Genomic DNA, 21,707 nt, shown 5'->3' with positions numbered 1-21,707 from the left:
TCGTTTCTGATTCCAACATTACATATGCATCTGTTGGCTGGAATTTTTTTTTTGAGACGGAGTTTCACTCTTACTGCCCAGGCTGGAGTGCAATGGCGCAACCTTGGCTCACCACAACCTCCACCTCCCGGATTCAAACGATTCTCCTGCCTCAGCCTCCCGAGTAGCTGGGATTTCAGGCGTGAGCCACCACGCCTGGCCTGGCTGCAATTCTTAAAGAAAAACAGGCAAAAGCAAAAATAATTGGCTAACCTGAAACACGGCAGTGTCCCGACCCATTCCCACGGGGGTCTTCCCTTGGGAACACCACTGGCAGATTTTTATTTCTGGCTGGATAAGCAGACACCTTAAGTTTAAAACAAAGAGGTCACCTCTTCCCCCACGAAATGCGATGTGGTGGATATGGCCACCTCACTGCCCTGAGACCCAACTTGATCTCCCAACTCCAGGTGCATGACCCAGGCTCTGACCAACAGAGCTGGGTGGAGGCCGTTCCTGCAGCACTGGGGGTGGCCCTGACCTAACCACCACTCCTAATCCTTGAATGAGGTTCAGTATTACAAAGGCTCTTGTTTCTACGGCCCAGCGCAGAGGCTGCAGGAGGGTCTTTGCCTCTGTGCAATGCTCACAGCTGCCTCGCCCAAGACAGAGACAAGAAGGGAAGCCAGACCGGGCAGCCAGCATGGGGTGCAGAGCCAGGAAGGAAAGGCCCAGCAGACGGCGACTCGGGGCCAGGGTGGAGTCCCTGAGCCAGACGGCTGTGGGCACCAGGCAGGCTTCTCCGCCTCTGAGCCCGGCCTGGCACGTGGCTCCGGGGTCGCGCACACTCTCAGCACATCCCCAGGATGCCCGGCGCCGGGGCGCAGCCCCCGCCATCTCCAGAGCCCCCGCCATCTCCGGCGTACCCATGGCTCTGCTTCTCCCACCTGGCAGTTTTCCCAGTAAACTTCTCGGGGGACTGGGGAGCTCTGAGGACTAAGAAGGCTTCTCTGAATTCAGGTTGATTTTCCAGGCTGAAGAGCAACTTCTCACTGCAGCTCTCCCTCAGGACCCAGTACTCCCGCAGAGGCGCAGCACCCCACTCTTCGGGCGCCCCTACACCTCCCCGTGCCTGTGAGTCCTCTGATGCCGCGTGAAGAACCCCAGGTGACGGAAGCCTTTCCCACAGTGGCCGCACTCGTAGAACCTCTTCGTCAGGTGCAGCCTCCGGTGGATGCTGAAGCCCTTGGGCCACCGGAAGGACTTGCCGCACTCGGCACAGGTGTAGGGCTTCTCCCCGCTGTGGACCCTCTGGTGGTGGCTGAGGTTCTCCTTGGTCCGGAAGGCTTTGCCGCAGTCCGCGCAGTAGAACGGCCGCTCCCCGGTGTGCACCAGCTGGTGTCTGAGAAGGTTGGACTTCTGCTTGAAGGCTTTCCCACAGTCGCCACACGAGTAGGGCCTGTGCTCGGTGTGGACCTTGCGGTGCTGAGCCAGGCGGTCCTTCAGGCTGAACGCCTGCCCGCAGGCCTCGCAGCAGAAGGGCTTCTCGCGCGTGTGGTTCTTCTGGTGGCGCTGCAGGTTTGAAGCCCACCGGAAGGTCTGGCCGCACTCGGGGCACTCGAAGGCCTTGGTTCCCGTGTGCACCGTCTGGTGAGCGAGCAGCCGGCTGTGGCAGCTGAGCGCCTTCCCGCACGTGCCGCAGATGAATGACAGCTCTACTGCGCGCTGCTTCCGGCGCTCTCTGCGGCCCGGCCGCCGCCCACAACGCTGCGTGAGCACCTGACACGGGAAAGCCGTGGGCTTGGCGTCTGTCCTTTCTGGAGCAGCTCTGGGAAGCTGCCCGTCATCCGTGTCCAGCCTGAAGCCCTTCCTAAAGCTGCTTCCTTCCCTGGCTCTTTCTCGCCGCACGTGGGTTTTCTTGTGAGCCCAAGCTGGATGATCACAAGGTCTCTTGGGGTCTGCAGACTTCCTTGCCCCTGTGGAAGGAACAGACACCCTTACACAGAGCCAGTGGCCCACAGCCAGGCAGTGCCTCCAGCAAAGCCCAGAGGAGGCCGGGCGCGGTGGCTCACGCCTGTAATCCCAGCACTTTGGGAGGCCGAGGCGGGTGGATCATGAGGTCAGGAGATCGAGACCATCCTGGCTAACAAGGTGAAACCCCGTCTCTACTAAAAAAAAAAAAATACAAAAAATTAGCCGGGCGCAGTGGCGGGCGCCTGTGGTCCCAGCTACTCGGGAGGCTGAGGCAGGAGAATGGCGTGAACCCGGGAAGCGGAGCTTGCAGTGAGCCGAGATTGCGCCACTGCAGTCCGCAGTCCAGCCTGGGCGACAGAGCGAGACTCCGTCTCAAAAAAAAAAAAAAAGCCCAGAGGACCCTCCTGCTGTGTGCGTGGACTGGCTTCCATTGACTCAGCTCATTCCACATGGTTACGAGTGATCAGGAAAACTCGTTCAAAGAAACACAGATGAGCCACAGGTATCAACAGCGGAAGCCAAGATGAGCTCAGATGCTTCCCCAGCCCCGGTGGTACGCAGGCCACCCGGCACTGCTGACGTGAGGGAGAGCCGACACATGCCTGCCAACCAACAGAAGCAACTGGGCCAAGAGAATGTCCTTTCACCCTGTCCACGCCAGCAGGCCCCACTCATGCGGGTGGAGGTGGTGCTAGGATGTCGTCTAGAAGACGGGTAGCTCCACCTGATTCTCAACCACTCAGCCTCAGAGCCATGGCTCCCTTCAGCCGGGGGCTCCACACACCCGGGGATGCGACACCTCCCCAGCCGGGGGCTCCACACACCCGGGGATGCGACACCTCCCCAGCCGGGGGCTCCACACACCCGGGGATGCGACACCTCCCCAGCCGGGGGCTCCACACACCCGGGGATGCGACACCTCCCCAGCCGGGGGCTCCACACACCCGGGGATCCGACACCTCCCCAGCCGGGGGCTCCACACACCCGGGGATGCGACACCTCCCCAGCCGGGGGCTCCACACACCCGGGGATCCGACACCTCCCCAGCCGGGGGCTCCACACACCCGGGGATCCGACACCTCCCCAGCCGGGGGCTCCACACACCCGGGGATGCAACACCTCCCCAGCCGGGGGCTCCACACACCCGGGGATCCGACACCTCCCCAGCCGGGGGCTCCACACACCCGGGGATCCGACACCTCCCCAGCCGGGGGCTCCACACACCCGGGGATCCGACACCTCCCCAGCCGGGGGCTCCACACACCCGGGGACCTGACACTCCAGAGTCAGGGGCTCCACACACCCAGGGACCTGACACTCCACAGTCGGGGGCTCCACACACCTAGGAACCTGACACTCCACAGTCGGGGACTCCACATACCCGGGGACCTCCCAGGGCTCGTGTTCACATAGCTGCTCCATCCCACTCTGAAAATGTAAGTAAAAAGCAAAACCCTGCTGACAACTGCCCCAAGAGCAACCCTCACCTAATGGAGGGAAGCATGGCCACTGTCCCAGTTTTGCAAACAAGGACGTGGAGCAAACTCCTACCCAGAGCCACATACCTGGAGACCCTCACGTGCAGTCAGTACCAGGCCTGGGACCCCACATGGCCATCACAGGGAGGTCAGACACCCACACCAATGGCCTCCGCCGGACAGCACCTGGGTGGCTAGGTGCAGGCTTCAAGTGTCACTCCAGCCTCAGGCCCCTCCGAGCTGCAGCTGTATGTCATCCTGCAGCACTATGCCTTTCGAGCCCCACCCCCGGCCAGTGTCCATCAGGGCAGGAGCGTGGCTGCCCCTACGTCTCTAATGCCTGTCTAATTTAGAGAGCAGCTGTGTGTCTGCTCTCCCATGGGAAGGACACACCCTTGGTCACTGCAGCGTGCTGAGCACTACCCAGGAGCTGTGGGCCACAGGGACGGGGCCCGCCGAGCCCAGACAGCCCAGCACTCACCTGGCCGGGGTCCCCTCTGCACTGCCTGGAACTCAGGTCTCTCCCGGTCTTCAACCCACGGCTCCTCCCACTGTTCCAGGCGAGAGACGAGGTCTGGTCTGGGGCTGCAAAATCCTTCTCAAAGGAGAGAAAAGTTTCTGTTTTACTTGTACTGAGGACAAAGTGAGGGTCGAGGCTCAGAGCAGTTGTGCATCAGCCTAAGACGCCAGGCCAGCCCTCGGGAGGCCCTGGAGAAGCCACCCCAAAGCAGAGATGACAGGAAGGGAGGGGCCTGGACACCAAGGCCCACGGAAGGCCCTGGCAAGGTCAGAGGAAGGAAGATGAGGCTGCCTCCAGGGAGCCCGAGAGAAACGCTGAGTGGGCCCCTCTGTCTACATAAGCCAATAACTTCTAGCTCCTGAGCCCCCTCAGCTGGGAGGCCCCACTACTGTCCTGGACGAGCTGGGCCCAGAGGCAGCGGCAGAGCTCTCCCAGCACTCACCCTGTGCTCACGCTGCGCTCAGCCCGTGCTCACCCAGAGCAGCCACACTGCTGAAGTTGTCCAGCATCACGTCCCGGTAGAGGGCCCTCTGGCTGGGTTCCAGACACGCCCACTCCTCCCTTGAGAAGTAGATGGCCACGTCCCTGAAGGTCACTGGCTCCTGCAACACACACAGCTCCCGAAGAGGCCATTCCCAAGAAAAAGAAGGCTCAGCCCACAGGTCTGGGTGGGAAGGGGGAATGGGAGTGGCCCTGCGGTGGACTGATTGTTTGTGTCCCCTAAATCCATTCACTGAAGCCCAGAGCCCCGAGTGGCTGTGTCTGGAGATGGGCCTCTGTGGAAGAGATTAAGGTTAAGTGAGGTCAGAAGGGAGGGGCCCTGACCCATGGACCTGGTCCTCACAGGAGACTCCAGAGAGCCCCCCGGCTCCCTCCCCGCACACGCGTGAACACAGCACAATAGTGGCCCCCACCAGAAACCAGATCTGCAGCATCTGATCTTGGACGTCAGCCTTTGGAACAGAGGAAGTGCATGTGTGTAAACCACCCACTGTGTCATGTTTGGTTACGGTAGCTCTAGTGGACTAAGAGAATCTAGTCTACTTTCCTACAACAGCCACTACTCTCCTAGTGTCAATGAATCCAATTTTCTTTTCTTTTTTTTTTTCTTTTTTGAGACGGAGTCTTGCTCTGTCACCAGGCTGGAGTGGTGGCACGATCTTGGCTCACTGCAACCTCCGCCTCCCAGGTTCAAGCAATTCTCCTGCCTCAGCCTCCCGAGTAGCTGGGCCTACAGGTGCGTGCCCAGCTAATTTTTTGTATTTTTAGTAGAGATGGGGTTTCACCGTGTTAGCCAGGATGGTCTTGATCTCCTGACCTCGAGATCCACCTGCCTCAGCCTCCCAAAGTGCTAGGATTACAGGCGTGAGGCATTGCGCCTGGCCCCAATTTTCTTTTTCTTTCCCCACCCCTTAAGAGAGAAGGCAGAAAGGCAGACACGGGCACAGTGCCTGGGAAGCCACTGCCACAGACCCTCCCCGCGTGTGTGCTGGGGTCTCAGGCAGCCAGCAGGGCAGAAGGGAGGCTGCGCTCGGCAGCAGCAGGGCTCACCTGGGCCATGTCCATGGGAACAGCGAGGCCACCCCTCTGGGGAAGCACAGTGCCAAGGAGGGCAGATCTGGGGAGACAAGAAATGTAAGCGGGTATAGCCGGCCTGGGAATGCCCCCCGCACCTGACCCCAGGAGCCCCCCCACTCAGCAAATCACGGGGAATTCAGGAAAAATGAGTGATGCACACACAGGGTCTGCTCTGTAACTACTGACAGCCACCAGGTGTGGGGAAACTTGGCAGTGGTGAGGGGCCAACATATCTTTAAGGGACAGCTGGGTACAGTGTGCCACCTCCACAAACAAGAACTCTGAAATACCAGACAGCAAGCCAGGCCTGTCACCAGAGGAGGACAGGCCAGCCATTGCTGGCTGAAAGCCAACAGCTTAGCTGCAAACACATGACTGGAGAGTCTAACCGCAACTGAGGCAGCGGAGGCTCCTCCTCAGGAGACAGGCGGGCAGCCCGTTCCCACAGCACTGTGCCAGGAGGATGCTCTCGGGTACGCTACAAGGAGGCCACCTCGCAGCCTTCCCCCAAGTGAAAACCTGGTGCAGCCCCGAGAAACCCCAATAATGTTCACTGAGTCTCCAGATCAAGCCACAAGATCCCCTAAACCTTAGGGCCCCAGCCCGCTGAGATCCAGCTTCTACCCCCAGGTCTGTAGAGAACCACCCTGGCATCCCACTGCCCTCCTGCCACAGTGGGTCCTGCCTCCTTCGTGAGTAAAGCTCAGAGCCCCAAGATGCAGAAGAGGCCAGCCCCACAGGCACCCCTGAGAAGAGACAGAACCAGCTGGAGGAAGATAGCCCATGCCTGGTTACCTCGTCAGGGGAGGGGAGGAGATGTCACTCTAGACCCTACAGACATGGAAGTATCCTAAAGGGCCGTCAGGAGCAACTCATGCAAACAGGTTCAGCAACTGAGATGAAACAGACAAACTCGATGAAAAACACAGTATCATGAAACTGACAAAAGAAAGGGAAGCCTTCCATCTGATAAGGCAATTGAAAATGTAACTGGAACCCTTCCCACACAGAAAATACCACACCCAGCTGGATTCCCTGGTAAACTCCACCAAAGCCTACGGAAGCACAGTACTGATCTTAGAAGCTATTTAGTGAACAGAGGAAGAGCAGACGCTATCCAGTCTGTCTTAATGAGGCCAGCAAAACCCAAACCGAAAACCTGACAGAGATATTACAAGGGGCCAAGCACAGTGGCTCACGCCTGTAATCCTAACACCCTAGGAGGCTGAGGCAGGAGGACTGTTCGAGCCCAGCAGTTGCCCAGCCTGTCTCTATAAACAATACAATAATTAGCGGGGCGTGGCAGTGCACATATGCAGTCCCAGCTACTCAGGAGGCTGAGGTGGGGGGACTGCTTGAATATGGGAGGCGGAGGTTGCAGTGAGCTGAGATCATGCCAGTGCACTCCAGCCTGGATGTTAGACTGAGACGCTGTCTGAAAAAAAAAAAAAAAAAAAAAAAGATATTACAAAAAAATTACCTACCAAACTCTCATAAACACAAATTCTCAAAAAATATTAGGAAGCCAAATCCAGCAGTTTATAAAAAGAATTCTCTGTCATGACCAAGTGACATGGACCCTAAGAGTACACAGCTGGTTTGATCCCCATTAACTGCAGTTGGTGCCCAGGAGGCTCCCTCCACCACCTGCACTCAACACTCACTGCATGGGGCGGCTCCCTCGGCGTTCACCCCTGACCCCTCGTCCCTCCCACCTCCAGCACAGCAGGTACACAGACATTCCCTTTCTCCTTCTGACACTCACAGGTGGTTACATTAACTGCTACATGTTTTCATGAATATGCTTTTCAACTTGATATTTTTTTTTCACTCTTTCAACAGCATAGCATCAACTTTAATCACAATGTTAATCCCCAACATTTGCTGTCATTTGAAAATGACATAACTCCATCCTGGCTAACACGGTGAAACCCCATCTCTACTAAAAAACAAAAAATTAGCCGGGCGTGGTGGCACGAGCCTGCAGTCCCAGCTACTCGGGAAGTTGAGGCAGGAGAATGGCACGAACCCGGGAGGCAGAGCTTGCAGTGAGCCGAGATCACGCCACTGTACTCCAGCCTGGGCAACAGAGTGAGACTCCATCTCAAAAAAAAAAAAAAAAAAAAGAAAATGATATAACTAACCAAATTAACAGAATAAAGGAGAAAACCATATAACAGCTATTATCTCAATAGCTGCAGAAAAGGCATTTGTTAAAATTCAACACCTAATCCCAACAAAAACTCTCAGCAAACAAGGAACAGAAGAGAACTTCTTCAACCCGGCAGACCTGCAACCAACATCCTGCTTCATGGGCCACTACGGAGCTCTTTCCCTCTGAGACCAGGAAAAAGCAGGGCTGTCTGCCCACTGCTTCTCTCTGTCACCTTATTGGAGGCCTGAGTCAGTGCAAGGAGGTAGAAAAAACACATAAAGCCATAAGATTACAAAGAAAGAAGTAGGTCGGGCGTGGTGGCTCATGCCTAGAATCCCAGCACTTTGGGAGGCTGAGGCGGGTGGATCACCTGAGGTGGGGAGTTTGAGACCAGTCTGGCCAATATGGCAAAACCCTGTCTCTACTAAAAATACAAAAATTAGCCAGGCATGGTGGCAGGCACCTGTCATCCCAGCTACTTGGGAAGCTGAGGCAGGAGAATCGCTTGAACCCGGGAGGTGGAAGTTGCTGTGAGCCAAGATCGCACCCCTGCAGTCCGGCCTGGGGAACAAGAGCAAAACTCCGTCTTAAAAACAAAAACAAAAACAAACAAACAAAAAACACAAACTGGAGGTAGAGGTTGTAGTGAGCCAAGATTGTGCCACTGCACTCCAGCCTGGGTGACACAGAGAGACCATCTTCACAACATTGGGGTAGACAAACATTTCTTTCATGGATCCCTAAAAGCACTTTTAAAAAATTACAAATTCAGGCCGGATGCAGTGGCTCACGCCTGTAATCCCAGCACTTTGGGAGGCCGAGGTGGGCGGATCACCTGAGGTACGGAGTTTGAGACCAGCCTGGCCAACATGGAGAAACCCCATCTCTACTAAAAATACAAAATTAGCCAGGCGTGGTGGCACTTGCCTGTCATCCCAGCTGCTCAGGAGGCTGGGGCAGGAGATTCACTTGAACCCAGGAGGCAGAAGTTGCGGCGAGCCGATATCGCGCCATTGCACTCCAGCCTGGGCAACAAAAGCAAAGCTCCGTCTCAAAAAAAAAAAAAAATCACAAATTGGATTTATCAGAATTAAAAATTTTTGTTTACCAAGGCAGTTAAGAAAAAAAAAAAAGGAGACGGGGTGCAGTGGCTCACGCCTGTAATCCCAGCACTTTGGGAGGCTAAGGCAGGGGGATTGCTTGAGGCCAGGAGTTTGAGACCAGCCTGGGCAACATAGGGAGACCTCTGTCTCTATTGTTTAAATTTTTTTTTCTAAAAAGAGACACAAAGGTAAGCCACAGACTAAGAGAAAATATTCCCAATACATGTATCTGACAAAGGACTTATATAAAGAATTGTAACTCCTACAAATCAATAAAAAAGAGAAATAAAATTTAAACTGGGCAAAATATTAGAACAGACACTTCAACCAAAGTTATACAACGGTCTATAAAAACATGAAAAGGCACACTGAGCACATGGGTCATGGGTGGTGTTTTCCAATTAGAACACCTTGCTGAGTTCCTCTAGCAAGTAGCAATGACCACAGTGATAAAAATAACAGCTCCCGGCCATTCGCGGTGGTTCACGCCTGTAATCCCAGCACTTGGGGAGGCCGAGGCAGGTGGATCACCTGAGGTCAGAAGTTCGAGACCAGCCTGGCCAACATGGTGAAACCCCATCTCTACTACAAATGCAAAAAATTAGCCAGGCTACTTGGGAGGCTGAAGCAGGAGAACTGCTTGAACCCGGGAGGCGGAGGTTGCAGTGAGCCGAGATTATGCCACTGCACTTCAGCCTGGGAGACAGAGCGAGACGATCTCAAAAAAAACAAAAACAAAAACAAAAAAAAAACACCCTCTCCCCTCAGCTCAACAGCTGTGTTTGCACAACCTGGACTGGGCTTCCCAGCCTGGAAAGCAGAGTCAGGGAGAACCGTGAGATAGGCCAGGAAAGGGGCTAAAGCCAGATTCCTCAAGGCCTCCTGAGCCGTGGTTTCATGTGTAATGCAACAAAGTTTAATACGGGAGAACAGAAGGATATTGTCATAGCTACTTTTTTTCCCCTAGGCAAATTAACACAGGATTTTTTTTTCTCTGAGGCAGGTCCTTGCTCTGTCACCCAGGCTGGAATGCAGTAGTGCAATCACAGCTCACTGCAGCCTCGACCTCCTGGGCTCAAGTGATCCTCCCACCTCAGTCTCCCCAGTAGCTGGGACCAAAAGCGCATGTGCCAACATGCCCTGCAATTGTTTTAAGTTTTTTGCAGAAACGGGGTCTCACTATGTTGCCAAGACTGATCTCAAACTCCTGGCCTCAAGAGATCCTCTGGCCTCAGCCTCCCCAAGTGCTGGGGTTACAGGCGTCAGCCACAGCATCCGGCCTAAGCTACCTTTTTTTTTTTTTTTTTTTTAATAAGATGATGTCTCGCTCTGTCGCCCAGGCTGGAGTGCAGTGGCGCGATCTCTGCTCACTGCAACCTCTGCCTCTTGGGTTCAAACGATTCTCTTGCCTCAGCCTCCCCAGAGTAACTGGGATTACAGGCGTGCACCACCACACCCGGCTAATTTTTGTATTTTTTGTAGAGACAAGGTTTCAACATGCTGACCAAGCTGGTCTAGAACTCCTGGACTCAAGTGATCCACCTGCCTCGGCCTCCCAAGAGCTGAGATTACAGGCGGGAGCCACCTTGCCTGGCTAAGCTACATTTTATAAAAGATCCTCTGTGATGAACAAATGAGAAAGCAGCAAAACAGGATGGGGGTGGGGAGAAGACAGGGAGGCGTTCAGGTGAGAGAGGAAGACGGCCAGGATTGGGACTTACAGGGTGGGAATGGCAAGGAGGCAAATGGTTCAGTTATGGAGCTAACGCACCAGTGACTGTGTGGCTGGGCGTGGGCAGGAAAGGAGAAGAAGCGAATCTCGGGTTTCTGCCTCCTCCCCTTCGCGGTGGAATGCCTGGGAGGACCAGAGGGTGGGGTGTGGAGGTTGCAGGAGCTCAGCCTGGGGCCGGGGAGCTTTGGGTGTTATGAATCAAGTCTAAGCGCTCGGGTCTCATCGGAGCGATAGGGCTGGAGACACAGGTGTGGAAAGTGTCTATGAGGGATAACTAAGGTCACGATCGCGGACGGGGTCGGCCAGGAAGAAACCAGCTTCAAGAGGATACGCAACCGGGTCCTGACAAACCTGCAAGTGTAAGGAGCGAGGAGAGAAGAGGAGGCCGAGCCGGAAGAAGCTGAAGAACAGCCCCCGAATAGCCGAGGGCACGGGCAGCCTCCCCGGTCTGTCCCAGCAGCCGCGACGCTGGGTCTCACAGCCCTGGGGCGGCCGCAGAATTAGAAGGTTTGACAGCCCACGACCCAGGGACGGAGGGGCGGCGGGGGACACGGGCGCACTCACCACAGGGGCGTCCTCCACTAGGATGCTGCATCCACTACGCCGCGCCGGTAGCCCAGACTTTTACAAACTTCCCGAGCGGAAGTTGTTATCCGAAAGCTTCCGGCCCCTCTAGGAGCCCACGTCTCGGTGGTGCGCGCTGGCCTTCCAGGCCGTCCAGGCCGCCCGCCTCGCCCCGCACCGCTTGTGGTTCCGCCGCAGCCGGCAGGCCCCGCCCCGGTCACAGCCAAGCGCCACGACGCCCGGCTGATTTTTTTGTAATTTTAGTAGAGACGGGGGTTTCATCATGTTGGTCAGGCTGGTTTTGAACTCCTGACCTCAGGTGATCCGCCTGACTTGGCCTCCCAAAGTGCTGGGGTTACAGGCGTGAACCACCGATCCCGGCCCTCATAACCTAAAGTCGGCCTAAAGGTTTATCCTACAAAGTGAACTGTAACCTAACTGGAGGTGTGAACAGACTGTCACTTGCTCTCCTGCCAGTCACCCAGTTCCAGCCAATCAAGGGTGTAGGGTCCAGCCCTGCGGGGCTAAGCGGGTGTTGTCCCCGTGTGCGGAGATGAGAGATTGTAATAAATAAAGACACAAGACAAAGAGATAAAGAGAAAACAGCTGGGCCCGGGCGACCACTACCATCAAGACGCAGAGACCGGTAGTGGCCCCAAACGGCTGGGCGCGCTGATATTTATTGCATACAAGACAAGGGGCCAGGGTAAGGAGGGTGAATCTTCTAAGTGATTGACAAGGTGAAGCAAGTCACATGATTACAGGACAGGGGGCCCTTCCCTCTTAGGTAGCGGAAGCAGAGAGAGAAGGCAGCATAAGTTAGCATTAATCAAAGACTTTAAGACTTTCACTATTTCTTCTACCGCTATCGACTACGAACTTCAAAGAGGAACCAGGAGTACAGGAGGAACACGAAAGTGGACAAGGAGCGTGAACATTGAAGCACCACAGGGAGGGGTTTAGGCCTCCGGATGACTGCGGCCAGGCCTGGGTAATATCCAACCTCCCACAAGAAGCTGGTGGAGCAGAGTGTTCCCTGACTCCTCCAAGGAAAGGAGACTCCCTTTCGCAGTCTACTAAGCAACGGGTGACTTCCCAGACACTGGCGTTAGGGCTTGACCAAGGAGCCCTCAAGCAGCCCTGATGTGGGAGTGACAGAAGGCTCACCTCTTGCCTTCTAGGTCACTTCTCACCATGTCCCTTCAGCACCCGACCCTATATCCGCCGGTTATTCCTAGGTTATATTAGTAATGCAACAAAGAGTAATGGTAAAAGCTAATGATTAATAATGTTTATAATAATGATTGATAATTGTTCATGGTCATCTCTATATCTAATTTGTATTATGACTATTCTTATTCTAACTATTTTCTTTATTATACTGAAACAGTTTGTGCCTTCAGTCTCTTGCCTAGGCACCTATGTAATACTCCACCCACACAAGGGTGGCCAACTGTTCAAACCTAGACACGCCTTTCTATAGATTCCAGGTCTTAGGTAATCACTTAACTTATTCAACCAATTGCCAATCAGAAAATCTTTGAATCCACCTATGACCTGAAAGCATCCAAAGTATAGCCAAGAAATATATTTAAAAGTAAAATAGGCCGGGCACGGTGGCTCCCGCCTGTAATCTCAGCACTTTGGGAGGCCGAGGCGGGTGGATCACGAGGTCAGGAGATCGAGACCATCCTGGCTAACATGGTGAAACCCGTCTCTACTAAAAATACAACAAATTAGCCGGGCATGGTGGCGGGCGCCTGTAGTCCCAGCTACTCGGGAGGCTGAGGCAGGAGAACGGTGTGAAACCCAGAGGCGGAGCTTGCAGTGAGCCGAGATCGCGCCACTCCATTCCAGCCTGGGCGACAGAGTGAGACTCCGTCTCAAAAAAAAAAAAAAAAAAAGAGTAAAATATTTTGATTTCCTTTATCTGTCATGTGACGTTATGCTAGAGTCAGGTTGGAAACTAAGCCAATTATATAGGGTTAAATAAAACCTATCTGATGACATTTTATGGTTTGTAGGGCAGACTCCCCAGGCCCTTTAGATAAGAACTTGAGCAAGAGAGAAAAAGATCAGTTTAGTCCTCACTAGTAAAGGAGTGATAGCGACAGGAGGCAGGCAGCCAAATGCCCAGCCAAATGGGGGCAGGTCCCCAGTGAAACCTCCACCTCGACGCTGAAAACAGCTTAAAGCCTGAAAGCCAAGCTGCAAGTCGAATCCTCAGACCGGATTGAGAGCCTGTCTTCCTGTCTGGCGCACTTTCCTCTGATTGGTCCCACCCTTCACCTATTTTACATATACCTACCCTTTTCTAATTGGCTTTCTACACTGTCATGCCCACCTTTCAGTGGTGCCTTTGCTTTAACCTTTTTTGCATTACTCACAAACCAATCAGCACGCCCTCCCCATTCTGAGTCCATAACATGGGGAACTTTCCTGCCTTCATGTAGGGGGACCACGCCATGTCCCCTCTCCACTGAAAGCTGCCCCGTCACCCAGTGAAATTCCCCGCCTTGCTCACTCTTCGATTGTCAGAGCCTCCTCATTCTTCTTGGCCGTGGACAAGCATTCGGGAACTCGGGGGAGTTGACGGGCTGTCTCCTGCAGCAGGTAGTGTGTCAAGCGAGGCCCTGGCGGGGCGTCGCTGGCCGGAGGTCCCTGGCTTGCAGAATGACTGAGAACAACATCCTATGTCAATAGGAATGTCTTCAAAATTGTTAGTTACATATAATTTAATACTTGTTGATTTGCTGTTACTTATGTTTTTGGTTTTGAGCCTCTGGAATCGGGGCTGGACAGGTGGCCATGGTGAGGTCTGGGGACAAGTTCTCAGTGCCTCGACCAGCAGCTCCCAAGCAGAATCCAGCCCCATGTGGTCCCCTTTCGCCAGTTTTGCCTCCTGGCTATTCTGGGAGAGGTTGGATCCTCCAGGCATTGCCTTCACAGCTCTGTCTTCTGTCCTGAGCTCTAACCTAGGATGTAACTTCGGGCCTCAGACAGCCTTGACAGCCTCCCTGGGTGCCACATGGCTACTTGAGACCCAGCAGGCCTGGGAAAGACTGTAGGGAGGGCACCTGTGTCATAGCTTCATGCAGGGAGCCGAAGGCCCGTGGGACGTGACCAACTCAGCATTCCGCTGGAGGCTCTATGATCAAACAGCAAACTGTTTACCATGAATGCAGGATGTGGGTGAACTCACACTGCCCTGCCACCAAAAGGTTTGCTGAGGGCCTCGCTCCCTGGCTCTGGGCTCCTTGAAGTTATCTATTGAGAAATACTCTATTGTCCAAAGGATGCAGCCTGTTCAAGGCCGACTGACAATTACCCGACAATCACCCCCCTTTTCTCACTATCTCTTTTGCCTAATAGATACGGAGGGCTGTGTAAAGCTCAGGGCCCTTGTCCACTAGAGGCAAGGTGCCCCCTGACGCCCTCTTCCAAATATACTCTTTTGTCTCTTGTCTTTATTCCCGAGTTCGCCCCCTTTGTTCAGTCCCCTTAGGTCCGTGCAGGTTACAAGTGGCGCCCCGATCAGCGATAGAATCGGGTGCTCAACACTTTCAAAACTGTTTTTTTTTTTCGGATGGAGTCTGACTCTGTTGCTCAGGCTGGAGTGCAGTGGTGCAATCTCGGCTCACTGCAAGCTCCACCTCCTGGGTTCAAGTGATTCTCCAGCCTCAGCCTCCCGAGTAGCTGGGACTACAGGGGCCCGCCACCATGCCCAGCTAATTTTTTGTATGTTTTGTAGAGACAGGGTTTCACCATGTTGGCTAAGCTGGTCTCGAACCCCTGACCTCAGTTGATCTGCCTGCCTTGGTCTCCCAAAGTGCTGGGATTACAGACGTGAGCCACTGTGCCCGGCCAAGACCCCATCTCTTAAAACATTGGGAAGAAAAAAATCTATAATATTATAAAAGCTGTATGGGCCAGGTGCGGTGGCTCATGCCTATAATCCCAGCACTTTGGGAGGCCGAGGCGGGCAGATCATAGGTCAGGAGTTCGAGGCCAGTCTGGCCAACAGGGTGAAACTCCATCTCTACTAAAAATACAAAAAATAGCCGGGCGTGGTGGTGCGTGCCTATAGTCCCAGCTACTCAGGAGGCTGAGGCAGAAGAATTGCTTGAACCCAGGAGGCAGAGGTTGCCGTGAGCTTGTAGCAGGACAAGATGCAGACAAAACTCTCAGACACCAAGTCAAAGAAGGAAGGAGTTTATTTGGCCGAGAGCATTGGCAAGACTCCTGTCTCAAGAGCCGAGCTCCCTGAGTGAGCAATTCCTGTCCCTTTTAAGAGCTCACAACTCTAAGGGGGTCCGCGTGAGAGGGTCGTGATCAATTGAGCAAGCAGGGGGTACGTGACTGGGGGCTGCATGCACTGGTAATCAGAACGGAACAGAACGGGACAGGGATTTTTACAATGTCTGGAATCTATAGGTAACACAACCGGTTAGGTCAGGGGTCAGTCTTTAACTACCAGGCCCAGGGTGCGGCGCCGGGCTGTCTACCTGTAGATTTCATTTCTGCCTTTTAGCTTTTACTTCTTCTTTCTTTGGAGGCAGAAATTGGGCATAAGAGGATATGAGGGGCAGTCTCCTCCCTTATTCCCCCTCTTTGAGACTCTCACTCATTTTATTAGTGGGAGTTCTCACCTTCTTCCTCACTAGCTATGTCTTCCTGCATGACAGAGCGATAGTGATTCATGAAGTACACTTGTGCTGAAGCATTCTTTTTTTTTTTTTTTTTTTTTTTTTTTTTGAGACGGAGTCTTGCTCTGTCGCCCAGGCTGGAGTGCAGGGGCGCGATCTCGGCTCACTGCAAGCTCCGCCTCCCGGGTTCACGCCATTCTCCTGCCTCAGCCTCCTGAGTACCTGGGACTACAGGCGCCCGCCACCATGCCCAGCTAATTTTTTTTTTTTGTATTTTTAGTAGAGACGGGGTTTCACCGCGTTAGCCAGGATGGTCTCGATCTCCTGACCTCATGATCCGCCTGCCTCAGCCTCCCAAAAAGCTGGGATTACAGGCGTGAGCCACCGCGCTCGGCTGTGCTGAAGCATTCTGGTGAACTAGAGTAGTGATGAAACCTTTTACCATTTGAAGGAGTACAGGTAGTAAACAACGGATCAGTAAGCAGGTTCTTATTACTACTGTAATTTTTATTATAAGAGTTTTAAATCCTCTTAGCGCTGGGAACCATTTTCAAACATGGCCTCAGGATCAAATCCGTGCCACGCTTGTACAGGCACATGTGCCAGTTTCGTCATGTCTTTAACTGTATCTTCAACTACTTGCCCCGATCATGTATGTGCAGGCAGCAATTGGTAAGGTTCAATTTCCCACAGACTTCTCCTTCAGCTGCTAGCAAGTAGTCGAGAGTCAATTTATTTTGATAGATAGCATTTCTCATCTGAGTTTCTTGCCGGGCCAGAATAGTCAAGGCTCTGCCGGTCCTATTAGTGATTATTTCTAAGACAGCTTGTAACCGTATGATTTGGTTGAGCATGTAGATGGGGGTCCGGTATCCCCACAAGCCATCTTGTGCCCAAGTAGCAGGCCTATAATATTCCATCATTCTCTCAGGGGGCCATTTATTATCTTTCTTATTTTTTTATAGCTATGCTTCTCTTTTCGCGGGAAACATAGGGAAGCCCAGGAGTTCACCTGTCTTTATAGGCAGTAGGAAGAAAGATGGTTTAATAGTGCCAATCACACAACTGCCTGCCCACTGGTCGGGTAATTTGGTGTAAGGCCTATGCCCACACATTCAGTATAATCCAGTGGGGGCTGTCCAGTCTCGGTGGGACTCCGGATGGGTCCACACGGTTTGCAACTTTGGGAATTTACTAAATGGATTTTTCTTAGTATGGTTTGAACTCCACTAGGTGGCTGTTTTTGTAGTACCATTATACAGTTTTTGCCTAAGGCAGCTGAGTCGTCCTACAGGAAGGGTGAAGTCCTTCCTTACTCTTTTTTTTTTTTTTTTTTTTTTGAGACGGAGTCTTGCTCTGTCACCCAGGCTGGAGTGCAGTGGCGTGATCTCAGCTCACTACAAGCTCTGCCTCCCGGGTTCACGCCATTCTCCTGCCTCAGCCTCCCGAGCAGCTGGGACTACAGGCGCCCGCCACCACGCCTGGCTAATTTTTTATATTTTTAGTAGAGACGGGGTTTCACCGTGTTAGCCAGGATGGTCTCCATCTCCTGACCTTGTGATCCGCCCGCCTCGGCCTCCCAAAGTGCTGGGATTACAGGCGTGAGCCACCGCGCCCGGCCCCTTACTCTTGCTATACAGTATTGTCTAGTGATTGAGGCTTTTAGGACCCGGAAGTTATCAGGGTGATTTTTCTGAGCCAGGAATTCGTCAGGAACTGGGTCTGTAGGTACTAATTCTTGGGCTTCCCGTGGCCATTGGTCTTTTATTATAGTTCCTCCACACACATAGCATGAAGTGACATTGAGAGACTGGGCTACATGGTCAGCTAATTGCAAACAAATTTCTTATTTTTCCTGGAATTTCTGGTGCTGGCACATTCAGTTCATCATAGAAGGTTTGAAATACTGGCTCAGGAGAGCGTTTATAAACTTCTCCTCAAACCACAATATTTACTTGAAGATCCAGTCCAGCCCCATGAATTTCTAGGGTTATGGCCGGGCACGGTAGCTCACGCCTGTAATCCCAGCACTTTGGGAGGCAGAGGCGGGCGGATCACGAGGTCAGGAGATCGAGACCATCCTGGCTAACACGGTGAAACCCCATCTCTACTAAAAATACAAAAAATTAGCCGGGTGTGGTGGCGGGCACCTGTAGTCCCAGCTACTCAGGAGGCTGAGGCAGGAGAATGGCGTGAACCCGGGAGGCAGAGCTCGCAGTGAGCCGAGATCGCTCCACTGCACTCCAGCCTGGGTGACAGACCGAGACTCCATCTCAAAAAAAAAAAAAAATTCTAGGGTTACACATTTCCTTTTTTTCCAGCGAGGATTAAGGGGGTTGGTTATTACTAGTTCTAAGGGGTTACACTGACCACTGGTATAGGAAGGGCCACTTTTCCTTTTCTGAAGGTGGACAGAATTTTTTTCATTTTTTATCCAAGTAGCCTAAATGACACAAGACCAGTAACTACATTCATTTCCACACAGTCCTAACTCATGATAAATGTACTTATTTTCTGCCATACAGCCTCTTTCCTAATGAAGAGAACCACATCCTATTCCTAACTTATTAGTATTAATGACAGCACAGGCATCACACTTCAAGGTGACTTGTTTGGGCACCTCTTTTTGTTTGTTTTTTTTGGCTAACACTTTACTCATATTGTTTATGAGCCCCCACCAGTCTTTAATTCTTAATCTTATTTGAAAAACTGTGGTCATGGGAGGCTCAGATGGGTCATAACACACATCAGGTTGGTCATTTCCTGGGCACATACCTTGTATAGAATAACATTATACAAACAAGTTCTTTTTAGAGTTCCAGTACACTTATAATAACCGTAAAATAATGGGACTGTAGCAACATTTTGTCCTCCCTCAGTGACTTGATGTATACACTAGGAACAGTCCTCAGTCTGAGGAGGGTGAGTTGAAGTCCTTACTGTACAAGTCCAAATTTTAAGGAAAACGAGTCCTGCGATGAGTTTCCTCATGCTTCGGCCGTGCATGGACCAGTCAGCTTCTGGGCGTGACTGGAGCAGGGCTTGTCGTCTTCCTCAGAGTCACTTTGCAGGGGTTGGCGAAGCTGCTGCTATCCACGTACTGCTCACAGTCTACTGATGTTCAAGGATGGTCTCGGAGGTTGCGCCTGCTAGAATAAACTGAGTCCAACACCTCTACACAGTTATGTTCAACTGGGCTCCCCGATACCGGGAGCAAGGTGCTGGGGTTTAGGGTGTTGCAAACTGCAGTGGTTATGTGGGGATTTTCACACAGCAAGCTTTGGTACTTGGTTAATCTAGCATTTGTTAGCCAATGATGTCCTTTGGGATTCATCAAAGTTACCACAGCATGGGGGGCCTTTATATTCAGGTTTTGTCCAAGAGTTAGTTTATCTGCTTCTTGTGCTAACAGGGCCGTTGCTGCCGGGGCCCTTAGACACGGGGGCCAGGCTTTGGAAACCCCCTATAGTTGTTTAGAGAGATAGGCCACTGCCCTTAGCCAGGGCCCCACAGTCTAGGTTAAAACTCCAAATGCCATTTTTTCTCTTTCTGACACATAGAGTGTAAAAGGTTTTGTCACGTCAGGTAGACTCAGGGCTGGGGCCAACAGGAGTTTTTCTTTTAACTCATGAAAAGCTTGTTGCTGTTGGTTGTAATAGATGTAGTTTATCTAATCTACACTTTTATTAACTGTCACCTACTAAAATATTGACGTAAATCCTATAGCTATTTGATTTCAAGCTTTAATTGATCTGGTGTTCCTTGAGGGGCCCCAACTGCATCCAAATAGACGTGAGAGTTGAAAGACCCATAAGGGGCTTCTCTCGCTTTATGACGTCTTATTTTTTCTCCCTCTGGTTGATGAAATGCCAGGGTGAAAGGGATAGCCAAACGGACTAAAGCACAAGTGCCATTCCAGTTATTCAGCAGAGTGCCCAGTAAAGGTCCACCACAATACCACCACACATCCGCACAGGGATGAACAAGGGCTGACTGATTGATAAGCTCTCGAAAATTCTTAAGCTCATCGCATCCCTTCAGGTCTCCAAGGAATGCTGTTTCCTCCCTGTCGTGAGAGACACGAAGTGAACTTAGTGTTGGGAGACAGAAGCTGGATGGCCCTTGCGGGCTGACCCACAGGGTGCTGGATTTCGGGATATAGCAGAGAGAGCTTGGCACGTCTTGTTACTGCAGGCTGTAGAATCCTGGAAAAGAGCTACTATGCAGCCACGCCTGGTCGACTGGCGACCACCTTAGTGGAGGGGGACAATCTGGGCCTCTGGCCTGCCATGTGCACAAGCGTAACAGTTGCTTTTGTTTAATGTGTAGATGGAATATTTGATCCATTTTAACCAGGCATTTGCACCTTGGTATCCTGTCCTAATTGTTAAAGTTTGTTTTAAGTCTTTAACTTCTATGATCCTCTAGTATTCTCCATTCCCCTCTTCTGCAGCCCTAGAAACCACCGTTCTACTTTGTTTCTATGAATCTGGCTACTGTGGATACCTCGTAGAAATGGAATCACACACAGTATTGGTCCTCTTGTGACTGATTATCTCACTCAGCACAATGTCCTCAAGGTTCATCCCTCTTGAAGCGTGTGTCAGAATTGACTTCTTCTTTAAGGCTAATATTCTGCTGTGTGTCCATACCACATTCGGTGTATCCATTTGTCCATTGACGGACTCTTGAGCCGCTGGGAATGGTGCTGCTGTGAACGTAGGGGTGCAAACGTCTGCGTGAGTGCCTGCTTTCACAGCTCTGGGAATATGCCCAGAAGTGGAATGGCCAGGTCACAAGGTCACTCCAGGCACCACACGCCGAGGACCCGCCGGTCACTCCAGGCACCACACGCCGAGGACCCGACGTCACTCCAGGCACCACACGCCGAGGACCCGCCATGCTGCTCTCCTTAGGAGGTGTACTATGTACTATTTTACATTCCAAACAGCAGCACACAGGGTTCTAGCTTCTCCACAGCCTTGCCAATACCTGTTATTTTTCTGTTTTAAGTTGTTTCTGTTTTGTGTTTGTTTTGTTATTTTAATTGTTTGCCATCCTAATGGGTGTGAGGTGGTATCTCATTGTGGCTTTGATTTGCAGTTCTCTAAGAATGAGTGGTGTGAACATCCTCTCATGTGCTTATTGGGCCATTCTTTTCTTTACTTTTTTTTTTTTTTTTTTGAGACGGAGTCTCACTTTGTCGCCCAGGCTGGAGTACAGTGGCGTGATCTCAGCTCACTACAACTTCCACCTCCTGGGTTCAAGCAATTCTCCTGCCTCAGCCTCCCGAGTAGCTGGGATTACAGGCACCCACCACCACGCCCCGCTAATTTCGTATTTTTAGTAGAGACAAGGGTTTATCCATGTTGGTCAGGCTGGTCTCGAACTCCCAACCTCAGGTGATCCGCCCACCTTGGCCTCCCAAAGTGCTAGGATTAGAGGTGTGAGCTACCACGCCCAGCCTATTGGGCCATTCTTGGGAGAGAGGTCTAATTAGTCCTTTGCCTATTTTTGAATCAGGTTGTTTTTGGGGAGTCGTTTTCTGGAGTGTTCCATGGTAAGTAGGTCTATGTAAACCTGTCTCCAAAGTCCGAGGAAGCTGAGAGGTCAAAGAAAAAGGCTAACAAACCCAGTTTCTTAGAAAGAAACACTTAACAGGGACTTAGAAAAAGAAGCCATGTCTGTCTTGGCAGCGGCAAGAGGAGATACTGGATCCCACCATTGCCCCCGCCCAGGGCTTGTGTACCACGGGGAGGGTTGGGAGGGAAGTGCAGGACAATGGGCGGCATCAGGGCCGTCTGACCCTGCGGCAGGGTTTATAGCAAGTGCCTGCCCTTACACAAGGAACAACAGATCACCTGGAAACGTCGGAGGCCTTCCCTGGACGGGTTAGTCGAAAGCCCACACAATAGTCACCATCCAGGCTGGAGCGGCTTTGGCCTCCACAAGGAGTTCCTTCGATATTTTGGATATGA

At 52.3% G+C, this 21,707-nt stretch overlaps 1 protein-coding gene across 12 annotated transcripts, besides 1 other annotated feature; it reads right to left on the bottom strand.

Moving 5' to 3' along the window:
- Positions 1-240: 240 nt before the first annotated feature.
- On the bottom strand, positions 241-11,147 carry ZNF707 (zinc finger protein 707). 12 transcript variants are annotated; one of them, NM_001288805.2, is made up of 8 exons: positions 11,084-11,147; positions 8,612-8,709; positions 7,559-7,632; positions 6,325-6,964; positions 5,503-5,569; positions 4,427-4,553; positions 3,913-4,026; positions 241-1,955 (listed from the first exon to the last, which is right to left on the bottom strand). In NM_001288805.2, the coding sequence occupies exons 5-8, from the start codon at positions 5,515-5,517 to the stop codon at positions 1,096-1,098; spliced, it is 1,116 nt and encodes a 371-aa protein (NP_001275734.1). In that variant the 5' UTR covers positions 5,518-5,569; positions 6,325-6,964; positions 7,559-7,632; positions 8,612-8,709; positions 11,084-11,147; the 3' UTR covers positions 241-1,095. The 12 variants fall into 12 exon arrangements, 8 of the variants coding, with proteins under 8 accessions (NP_001275734.1, NP_776192.2, NP_001275735.1 ...); NM_173831.4 differs by lacking the exon at positions 8,612-8,709 and having other exon boundaries at positions 6,325-6,422; NR_110191.2 differs by lacking the exons at positions 6,325-6,964; positions 7,559-7,632; positions 8,612-8,709 and adding an exon at positions 8,148-8,245 and having other exon boundaries at positions 4,394-4,553.
- Positions 13,347-13,572: a silencer, noted in NCBI's record as "fragment chr8:144764224-144764449 (GRCh37/hg19 assembly coordinates)". NCBI's record gives its function as "represses an EF-1alpha promoter that drives an FKBP-Casp9 reporter gene in an ReSE screen in HepG2 liver carcinoma cells {active_cell/tissue: HepG2}" and the evidence as "EXISTENCE:reporter gene assay evidence [ECO:0000049][PMID:32094911]".

This window comes from Homo sapiens, chromosome 8 (assembly GCF_000001405.40).
Source record: "Homo sapiens chromosome 8, GRCh38.p14 Primary Assembly".
NCBI classification, from domain to species: domain Eukaryota; kingdom Metazoa; phylum Chordata; class Mammalia; order Primates; family Hominidae; genus Homo; species Homo sapiens.
This window is presented reverse-complemented; position numbering and strand designations above follow the sequence as displayed.